Source organism: Homo sapiens, chromosome 16, assembly GCF_000001405.40.
Source record: "Homo sapiens chromosome 16, GRCh38.p14 Primary Assembly".
Lineage (NCBI taxonomy): Eukaryota > Metazoa > Chordata > Mammalia > Primates > Hominidae > Homo > Homo sapiens.
Window position 1 is genome coordinate 28416037 of NC_000016.10, and position 11453 is coordinate 28427489.

Here is an 11453-nt window from a genome sequence, read left to right on the forward strand (position 1 = left end):
GGGGTTTCGCTGTGTTGGCCGGGCCGGTCTCCAGCCCCTAACCGCGAGTGATCCGCCAACCTCGGCCTCCCGAGGTGCCGGGATTGCAGACGGAGTCTCGTTCACTCAGTGCTCAATGGTGCCCAGGCTGGAGTGCAGTGGCGTGATCTCGGCTCACTACAACCTACACCTCCCAGCCGCCTGCCTTGGCCTCCCAAAGTGCCGAGATTGCAGCCTCTGCCCGGCCGCCACCCCGTCTGGGAAGTGAGGAGTGTCTCTGCCTGGCCGCCCATCGTCTGGGATATGAGGAGCCCCTCTGCCTGGCTGCCCAGTCTGGAAAGTGAGGAGCGTCTCCGCCCGGCCGCCATCCCATCTAGGAAGTGAGGAGCGCCTCTTCCCAGCCGCCATCACATCTAGGAAGTGAGGAGCGTCTCTGCCCGGCCGCCCATCGTCTGAGATGTGGGGAGCGCCTCTGCCCCGCCGCCCCATCTGGGATGTGAGGAGCGCCTCTGCCCGGCCGAGACCCCGTCTGGGAGGTGAGGAGCGTCTCTGCCCGGCCGCCCCGTCTGAGAAGTGAGGAGACCCTCTGCCTGGCAACCACCCCGTCTGAGAAGTGAGGAGCCCCTCCGCCCGGCAGCCGCCCCGTCTGAGAAGTGAGGAGCGTCTCCGCCCGGCAGCCACCCCATCTGGGAAGTGAGGAGCGTCTCCGCCCGGCAGCCACCCCGTCCGGGAGGGAGGTGGGGGGGGTCAGCCCCCCCACCCGGCCAGCCGCCCCGTCCGGGAGGTGAGGGGCGCCTCTGCCCGGCCGCCCCTACTGGGAAGTGAGGAGCCCCTCTGCCCGGCCAGCCGCCCCGTCCGGGAGGGAGGTGGGGGGGGTCAGCCCCCCCGCCCGGCCAGCCGCCCCGTCTGGGAGGTGAGGGGCGCCTCTGCCCGGCCGCCCCTACTGGGAAGTGAGGAGCCGCTCTGCCCGGCCAGCCGCCCCGTCCGGGAGGGAGGTGGGGGGGGTCAGCCCCCCCCGCCCGGCCAGCCGCCCCGCCCGGGAGGTGAGGGCGCCTCTGCCCGGCCGCCCCTACTGGGAAGTGAGGAGCCCCTCTGCCCGGCCAGCCGCCCGGTCCGGGAGGGAGGTTGGGGGGTCAGCCCCCCGCCCGGCCAGCCGCCCCGTCCGGGAGGGAGGTGGGGGGGGTCAGCCCCCCTGCCCGGCGAGCCGCCCCATCCGGGAAGTGAGGGGCGCCTCTGCCCGGCCGCCCCTACTGGGAAGTGAGGAGCCCCTCTGACCGGCCACCACCCCGTCTGGGAGGTGTGCCCAACAGCTCATTGAGAACGGGCCAGGATGACAATGGCGGCTTTGTGGAATAGAAAGGCGGGAAAGGTGGGGAAAAGATTGAGAAATCGGATGGTTGCCGTGTCTGTGTAGAAAGAAGTAGACATGGGAGACTTTTCATTTTGTTCTGCACTAAGAAAAATTCCTCTGCCTTGGGATCCTGTTGATCTGTGACCTTACCCCCAACCCTGTGCTCTCTGAAACATGTGCTGTGTCCACTCAGGGTTAAATGGATTAAGGGCGGTGCAAGATGTGCTTTGTTAAACAGATGCTTGAAGGCAGCATGCTCGTTAAGAGTCATCACCAATCCCTAATCTCAAGTAATCAGGGACACAAACACTGCGGAAGGCCGCAGGGTCCTCTGCCTAGGAAAACCAGAGACCTTTGTTCACTTGTTTATCTGCTGACCTTCCCTCCACTATTGTCCCATGACCCTGCCAAATCCCCCTCTGTGAGAAACACCCAAGAATTATCAATAAAAAAATAAATTTAAAAAAAAAAAAAAAACTCAAATAAAGTTTGCACTTTAGGAATGCAAAAAAAAAAAAAAAAAAAAATTAGCCAGGCGTGGTGGCGCATGCCTGTAATCCTAGCTACTCAGGAGGCTGAGGCAGCAGTATCTCTTGAACCAAGGAGGTGGAGGTTGCAGTGGGCTGAGATCACCCCATTGCGCTCTAGACTGGGCAACAGGAGTGAGACTCTGTCTCAAAAAAAAAAAAAAAGATAGTAGTGTGCATGCTATAAAAAAGAATCCCAGCCTCTGTGCGGGGTAAAAAACCCAAACCATTCTTTCTGGGGTGTGGTCTCTCAAGTGGTGCCTTAACTGAGTCTTTATTTTTTTGAGATAGAGTCTTGCTCTGTTGCCCAGGCTGGAGGGCAGTGGCATGATCTCGGCTCACTGCAACCTTCACCTCCCAGATTCAAGTGATTCTCCTGCCTCAGCCTCCAGAGTAGCTGGTATTACAGGCATGCGCCACCACGCCTGGCTAATTTTCATATTTTTAGTGGAGATGGGGTTTTACATGTTGGCCAGGCTGGTCTCAAACTCCTGACCTCAAGTGATTTGGCCTCCCAAAGTGCTGGGATTACAGGTGTAAGCCACCACATCTTGCCTTAACTGAGTCTTTAATACATCATTGCACCACACTAGGGGTCATGTTGATTTCTTCTGCTGTCTAAAGATACCACATGTGAGGCAGCAGCTGCAATTGGAGTCACCATCTAAATGAGTTTCCCATAGTCCACAGTCATTCTCTAAGATCCATCCAACCAGCATATGCTAAACGCCTGCCCATTCAAGTCTTTTTTTTTTTGACACAGTTTCGCTCTTTTGCCTAGGCTGGAGTACAGTGGTATGATCTCAGCTCACTGAAGCCTCTGCCTCCCAGGTTCAAGGGATTCTCCTGCCTCAGCATCCTGAGTAGCCAGGATTACAGGCACCTGCCACCACACTCGGCTAATTTTTGTACTTTTAGTAGAGATAGGGTTTCACCATGTTGCCCAGGTTGGTCTCGAACTCCTGACGTCAGGTGATCCACCCGCCTCAGCCTCCCAAAATGCTAGGATTACAGGCCTGAGCCACCCCACCTGGCCCCTTGCAAGTCTTTGAGGGTGGCACTAGTCTCTGCGACTCTCCAGGGATGTGATAATGCTTCTGGTTAACTGTCTTTTTAAAATTTTTTTTCTTTGAGACAGAGTCTCCCTCTGTTGCCCAGGCTGGAGTGCAGTAGGATGATCTTGGCTCACTGCAACCTCTACCTCCTGGGTTCACGCCATTCTCCTGCCTCAGCCTCTTGAGTAGCTAGGACTACAGGTGCCCGCCATCACGCCTGGCTAATTTTTTGTATTTGTAGTAGAGATGGGGTTTCACCGTGTTAGCCAGGATGGTCTCAATCTCCTGACCTCGTGATCCGCCTGCCTTGGCCTCCCAAAGTGCTGGGATTACAGGTGTAAGCCAGTGCGCCCAGCCCTCTGGTTAACTGTCTTGACAGGAAGTGGAAGTTACAGGGACTTTCCCTTAGCCCTTTCCACCATGATTCTCTCACTCCATGGGTGGGAGAGCCAGTGTGGAGATTTGTCAGTTGCCATAGATGGCTATTCCTATTATACTCTCAGGAATTTGGAAATAACCACAGGGTGGGACCATAGATCAACGGAGCCCTCTGTGAGTTGGGGCTGAGCTAAGACTCCATCTAGCACCTGACCATCTATCTTTAAGCCCCTACTTTTAGTGATGAGCCACAGTGGCATTTTGGATCCTCAGGACTTGGCGTTAATTCAGAGCCAATGTCTAGGAATCCTCAAAAGGTTGGGTATTTTCTTCTCCCTGATGCACACTCTAGTAAACAGGGCATGTTCCTCTCTCAGGGAGAACCAAACTTCTCTCCAATTAAGTGACTCTGGATCTATGCTGACTTAGGTCTAAAATCCAGGCGAGAGACTACAACTCTTCACTATGGCAACTCAACTTAGGTTTTTGGCTACTAGAGCAAGTTTTTTGTTTATTTTTTTGAGATGGAGTCTTGCTCTGTCAACCAGGCAGAAGTACAGTGGTGTGATCTTGGCTCACTGCAACCTCTGCCTCCCGGGCTCAAGCAATTCTCCTCCCTCAGCCTCCCGAGTAGCTGGGATTACAGATGCACGCCACCACACCTGGCTAATTTTTGTATTTTTAGTAGAGATGGGGTTTCACCATGTTGGCCGGGCTGGTCTCGAACTCCTGACCTCAGGTGATCTACCTGCCTCAGCCTCCCAAAGTGCTGGGATTACAGGTGTGAGCCACTGCGCGCAGCTTATTTATTTATTTATTTTTAACAAGGTCTTGCTCTGTTGCTCAGGCTGGAGTGCGCTGGTGCAATTATAGCTCACTGCAGCCTCGGACTCCTGGGCTCAAACCATCCTCCCACCTCAGCCTTCAGAGTAGCTGGGACTACAAGTGTGCACAACCATGCCCAGCTAATTAAAAAAAAAAAACCAAAAAAACCTTTTTTTGGTGGAGACATGGTCTCACAATATTGCCCAAGCTAGTCTCAAACACCTGGCCTCAAGCAAATCTTCCTGCCACAGCCTCCCAAAGTGCTGGGATTACAGGCATAAGCCACTGTGTCCAGCCAGAATTTGATGTTTTGACATATATTTTATATCTATAGCCGTGAAGTCATTACCACAATCATGATAGCGAAGGTATGCATCACGCAGAAGTCTCCTTGTGACTGTAATCTCTCCCACCTGCCTCTCTCTGACCCCTCATACCCAAGAAACCACTGATCTGCTTTCTGTCACGATAGGTTGATTTGCATTTTCTTTTTTTCTTTTTGAGATGGAGTTTTGCTCTTGTCACCCAGGCTGGAGTGCAATGGTGCAGTCTCAGCTCACTGCAACCTCCGCCTCCCAGGTTCAAGCAATTCTCCTGCCTCAGCCTCCCAAGTGGCTGGGATTACAGGCACCCACTACCACACCCAGGTAATTTTTGTATTTTTAGTAGAAACGGGGTTTCACCACATTGGCCAGGCTGGTCTCGAACTCCTGAGCTCAGGTGATCTGCCTACCTCAGACTCCCAAAGTGCTGGGATTATAGGTGTGAGCCACCATGCCTGACCTGATTTGCATTTTCTAGAGCAGGGGTTGGCAAATGTTTTTTGTAAAGGGCCAAATAGTAAATATTTTAGGTGTTGTAGGACAACAGATAAAAAGTAGTATATTATGGCAGGGCACAGTGGCTCACGCCTGTAATTCCAGCACTTTGGGAGGCCGAGGCGGGCAGATCACTTGAGGCCAGGAGTTTGAGACCAGACTGACCAACATGGCAAAACCCAGACTCTACTAAAAATACAAAAATTACCCAGACATGGTGGCGCATGCCTGTAATCCCAGCTACTGGAGAGGCTCAGGCATGTGAATTGCCTGAACTCAGGAGGCAGAGGTGGCAGTGAGCCGAGATCACACCACTGCACTCCACCCTGGGTGACAGAGCGAGACTCTATCTCAGAAAAAAAAAAAAAAAAAAAGAACAAAGTTAGTGTTCCCTATCATCAAAGTCTATGACAAATGTTTATCTGTTAATTCTAATCTGTAATGAGATTTGGCAAAAATAGTTTTTCCTGAAGATAGGTATTGCCAAATACAGATAGCAATCCACAAGCATATGATGTCACGAGCACATTCATCATTTGAAAGGCATTTATAGAATTCTATTTGGACTCTGGCCAGGTGCGGTGGCTCACTTAATCCCAGCACTTTGGGAGGCCGAGGTAGGTGGATCACTCGAGGCCAGGAGTCCCAGACCAGCCTAGGCAACACGGCAAAACCCCCCTCTCTACTGAAAATACAAAAAAATCAGCCAGGCCTGGTGGCGTGTGCCTGTAATTCCAGCTACTTGATGCTCAGTATCATTTGAACCTGGGAGGTAGAAGTTGCAGTGAGCTGAGATGGTGCCACTGCACTCTGGCCTGGGCACCAGAGCAAGACCGTGTCTCAAAAAAAAAAAAAAAAAATCTATTTGGATTGGATTTTTCTCTTGCTATCTGCCTTTTAGCATGTCACTACATTATGGTTTAATCACTTGAGATGTGTCTCAATTTCACTGAAGTCCTAAAAATGCTACTGGAACTGCAGTTTGAGATTGGAAATGTAGCTCCTAAAAATTTATATGGGAATGGACATCTTGCTCCTTGTTTTAACTTTGATATTATGGGCTGTGTATAAGGCAGCTTGACATCGCTTGTGATTCAAACAATATACCATCAATGAAGTTACTTTACAGCAGCATACGTTAAACATATACGTGCTGTTTTGCCTTATAATTTTAGGTTGAATTATTAAGAGATATTATCAAAACTGCTTCAAAAGCTAGCTAACAAAGCCTCTCAGTGTTTGATAGCAGTGGTTATGTGTGGTTCTTCTTTGTTGTTGTTGTTGTTGAGACGGAGTCTCGCTCTGTCACCCAGACTAGAGTGCAGTGGCATGATCTAGGCTCACTGCAACCTCCACCTCCCCAGGTTCAAGGGATTCTCCTGCCTCAGCCTCCGGAGTAGCTGGGACTACAGGTGCCCACCACCAAGCCTGGCTAATTTTTTGTATTTTTAGTAGAGACGGGGTTTCACCATGTTAGTGAGGATGGTCCTCAAGTGATCTGCCCACCTCGGCCTCCTAAAGTGCTGGTAACACAGGTGTGAGCCACTGCACCTGGCCCGGTTCTTATTTAGAAAAATTTCAGGCTGGGTGCAGTGGCTCAAGCCTGTAATACCCGCAATCTGGGAGGCCGAAGCAGGTGGATTACCTGAGGTCAGGAGTTCGAGACCAGCCTGGCCAACACAGTGAAACCCCGTCTTTACTAAAAATACAAAAAAAAATTAGCCAGGTGTGGTGGCGGGCACCTGTAATCCCAGCTACTTGGGAGGCTGAAGCAGGAAAATCCCTCGAACTCGGGAGGCAGAGATTGCAGTGAGCTGAGATAGCACCACTGCACTCCAGCCTGGTTGACAGAGTGAGACTCAGTCTCAAACAAAAAAAGAAAAGAAAAGAAAAAAAAATTCAATCTCAGCCCGGAGTTAAAAACCATATGGCTGTGTGTGGTGGCTCATACGTATAACCCCAGCACTTTGGGAGGCTGACACAGGCAGATTACTTGAGCCCAGGAGTTCAAGACCAGCCCGGGCAACATGGCAAAACCCTGTCTCTGCAAAAAATGCAAAAACTAGCCAGGCGTGGTGGCACATGTGTGTAGTCCCAGTTTCTTAGGGAAGTAACCTTAGGTGGAAGGGTCACCTGAGCATGAGAGGCAGAGGTTGCAGTGAGCCAAGATCACACCACTGCACTCCAACCTGGGTGACAGAGTGAGACCCTGTCTCAAAAAAACAAAACAAATCAAAACCATAAAATTTAGCACTTCCAAGACATCAAACTACTGTATGGCATGGCAAGTCAGGATATTCAGCTTGTATTTCTAACAAAAATTTATGGAACTGACAGTTAAATCCACACAAGCAAATGAAGTTCACAATTGACAGTACTGGTTCAATATCTTATGACAGATTCAAAAATGTGTGCAAAGTACCTGCTGATGAATCATACAGTTAATAACCATAGGCTTTTTTTTTTTTTTTTTGAGATGGAGTCTCCCTTATCGCTCAGGCTGGAGGGCAGCGGCGCGATCTCCACTCACTGCAACCTCCGCCTCCTGGGTACAAGCGATTCTCCTGCCTCAGCCTCCTGAGTAGCTGGGATTACAGGCATGTGCCACCATGTCCGGCTAAATTTTGTATTTTTAGTAGAGATGGGGTTTCATCATGTTGGCCAGGCTGGTCTTGAACTCTTGACCTCAGGCAATCTACCCGCCTCAGCCTCCCAAAGTGCTGGCATTACAGGCGTGAGCCACCGTGCCCAGCAACCATAGGCTTTAAACACCTTACATTTGCACAAGCTTTGTAAATTCGTCCAACAAAGGCTTTTTCTGCTCCATATATATATATAATATATATATTATATATATATATATATTTTTTGAGACGGAGTCTTGCTCTGTTGCCCAGGCTGGAGTGCAGTGGCACTATCTCGGCTCACTGCAAGCTCCGTCTCCTGGGTTCACGCCATTCTCCTGCCTCAGCCTCCCAAGTAGCTGGGACTACAGGCGCCCGCAACCACACCTGGCTAATTTTTTTTTTTTTTTTTGAGATGGAGTCTCACTCTGTTGCCCAGGCTGGAGTGCAGTGGTGTGATCTCGGCTCACTGCAAGCTCTGCCTCCCAGGTTCACGCCATTCTCCTGCCTCAGCCTCCTGAGTAGCTGGGACTACAGGCACCCGCCACCACACCCAGCTAATTTTTTTGTATTTTTAGTAGAGACAGCGTTTCACCGTGTTAGCCAGGATGGTCTCGATCTCATGACCTCGTGATCTGCCCACCTCGGCCTCCCAAAGTGCTGGGATTACAGGTGTGAGCCACCACGCCCAGCCTATTTATTTTTTTTTGAGATGGACTTTCACTCTTGTTGCCCAGGCTGGAGTGCAATGACAAGATCTCGGCTCACTGCAACCTCTGCCGCCTGGTTCAAGCAATTCTGCCTCAGCCTCCCAAGTAGCTGGAATTACAGGCGCCTGCCACCAGGACTGGCTAATTTTTTGTATTTTTAGTAGAGGCAGAGTTTCACCATGTTGGCCGGGCTGGTCTTGAACTCCTGGGCTCCAGTGACCTGCCTGCCTCAGCCTCCCAAAGTGCTGGGATTACAGGCATGAGCCACTCCGCCTGACCCAGATATTATTATTGTTTTTGTTACTCTTATTATCGCAAAGACTCTCTCCCAATTTATGGCTTATCTTTTCATTCTATTAAGTGCCTTTTTTCCCCCAAGATGAAGTCTCGCTGTGTTGCCCCAGCTGGAGTGCAGTGGTATGATCTCAGCTCACTGCAACTTCTGCCTCCACGGTTCAAGTGATTTTCCCACCTCAGCCTCCTGAGTAACTGGGATTACAGGTGCCTGCCACCACGCCCAGCTAATTTTTGTTTTTTTAGTAGAGACTGGGTTTCACCATATTGGCCAGGCTGGTCTCGAACCCCTGACCTCAAGTGATCTGCCCACCTTGGCCTCCCAAAATGCTGGGATTACAGGCGTGAGCCACCGTGCCCAGCCCGGCCCACATGCATTTTAGAAACAGTACATTGATTTGTATTCTACTCCCTTTCTAAAATCACTTATCAGTTCTTGGAACTTTTTTTTTTTTTTTTTTTTTTTTGAGACGGAGTCTCGCTCTGTCACCAGGCTGGAGTGCAGTGGCGCGATCTCGGCTCACTGCAACCTCTGCCTCCCAGGTTCAAGCAATTCTCCTGCCTCAGTCTCCTGAGTAGCTGGGACTACAGGTGTGCACCACCACGCCCAGCTAATTTTTTAGTAGAGGTAGGGTTTCACCGTGTTGGCCAGGATGGTCTCGCTCTCCTGACCTTGTGATCCACCCACCTTCACCTCCCAAAGTGCTGGGATTATAGGCGTGAGCCACCATGCCTAGCCAAGCCTGTGGTTTTCTTTCTGGAAGTGACGCAGTGCACTGAGAAGAATCCGTCCCACGCCACAGCCCTTACAGTCATCGTTATTGACATCACAGTCAAGTACAGCAGCCACTTGGGCTCCCGGGACATGCGCTGGAGTTGGTACTTTATAAAGACAAGCTGTAGGCAACAGTCTGATTAACTCGATGCCACAGCACATCACAGATTACCGACGTCCAGTTCCCATTACCTTGGAGCTCAGACAAAGCTCAAACCCAAGGGCATGGACAAACCAGTCCCCAAATGCTATCCTTGTGGATCTATCTCCAGGCACCCCTCTTGTAATAATGCTACATCGATCGGGATCCACTCACAAGGCGGAAACCACAGAGTCATTTAAACAGGGAAGTTTTAACAGAACAATGAACTATTTACAGGGGATTGTGACTAAGTGTGAATCAAAGAGAACTCTAAAAAACACCCATGGGGCCGGGCGTGGTGGCTCACGCCTGTAATCCCAGCACTTTGGGAGGCTGAGGCAGGCAGATCAAGAGGTCAGGAGTTCGAGACCAGCCTGGCCAACATAGTGAAACTCCGTCTCTCCTAAAAATATAAAAATTGGCTGGGTGTGGTGGCACGCAACTGTAGTCTCAGCTACCTGGGAGGCTGAGGCAGGAGAATCGCTTGAACCCGGGAAGCAGAGGTTGCAGTCAGCCGAGATCATGCCAGTGCACTCCAGCCTGGGTGACAGAGGGAGACTCTGTCTCAACACACACACACACACACATACACACACACACACACACGCAAACAACAACAACCAAAAAACACCCAAAGGGTGAGGGAGAGAGCCCAGAGAAAGAACAAACCTGGAAGGGGGTAGCCTCGTTAAGGCTGGGTCTCAGACCTCACTGGAGAGAGGTGGCTGCAGCCCATTGGACGGTGAGGTTGGCTGGGTTGCCCCAGGTCACGGCTGGTCCACAACCAGCTGGCCGAGGCTGGTGGCCAGGGGACCACAAGCAGAAACCCCTCCTGCTGGGGTGCTGGGGTGCCAAGGTTGTCAGGCTGGGAACCACACACTGGGGCTGGCAGGCAGGAAGTTGAATGCCACTGTGTGTCCGGTGCAGGGCTGCCTGCCACGGGGGTGGGACAGAGGAGGAACCAGGACAAGCCCCTTCCTCCTGTGGTGTCCCTCCGGCGCCCTCTACTGGCAAAGAAGAAATGTTTGCCAGTTCCACATCTGGTAGCAAGCGGTGCAATAAATGGATTTGGAACTGGGAGGCAACAGATAGAAAACTGGCACCAGTATGTGCTCATGGTAAAAAAAAAAAAAAAAAAAGGAAAGGCAAGTTTTGTTTCTCTTTCCTTCTTGCTTGCTTGCTTTCTCTTTCTTTCTTTCTATTATTATTTTGAGAGAGATTCTTGCTCTGTCGCCTAGGCTGGAGTGCAGTGACAATCTGGGCTCATTGAAGCCTCGAACTCCCAGGCTCAAGTAACCCTCCCACCTCAGCCTCCCAAGTAGCTGGGACTACAGGTGTGTACCACCATGCCCGGCTAATGTTTATTTATTTATTTATTTATTTTTTGTAAAGATGAGGTCCTCACTATGTTGCCCTGGCTTGTCTCGAACTCCTGGGCTCAAGCGATCCTCCCACCTTGGCCTCTCAAAGTGTTGAGATTATAGGTGTGAGCCACCACACCTGGCCACAGTTTCATTTCAGAATGTCCTTGTTGAAGCAGTAAAAATGATCAATTTTATTAAATCTCAACCGTTGAATATATTTCTTCTTAATATTCTGCGTGTCAAAATGAGAAGAATGGATAAAGTGTTTAGATTAATCATAAATCCAATGGTTACCTCTGGAAAGGCTCTCAGAGATGGAGTTGTGGGATGAGCCAACCACCACCTGTCATGGAACACCATTTATACATGGAAGAACCAAGAACAATTTATTATTATTTTGAGACTGAGTCTCACTCCGTCGCCCAGGATAGAGTGCAGTGGCGCAATCTTGGCTCACTGCAACCTCTGCCTCCTGGATTCAAACAATTTTCATGCCTCAGCATCCCAAGTAGCTGGGATTACAGGTGCACACCACTACACTGGGCTAATTTTTGTGCCTTTAGCAGAGATGGGGTTTCACCATGTTGTGCTGGGATTATAGGCGTGAGCCA

General features: G+C 50.7%; 1 protein-coding gene across 1 annotated transcript in view; it reads right to left on the bottom strand.

Annotated features, from left to right (window-relative positions):
• EIF3CL (eukaryotic translation initiation factor 3 subunit C like) overlaps positions 1-10382 on the bottom strand; it is a 46838-nt gene extending 36456 nt beyond the window's left edge. Inside the window, exon 1 of the mRNA XM_047434558.1 lies at positions 10148-10382. The gene's annotated coding sequence lies outside the window, so the exon portion shown is untranslated. The remainder of the gene's footprint in view (positions 1-10147) is intronic.
• Positions 10383-11453: the final 1071 nt, after the last annotated feature.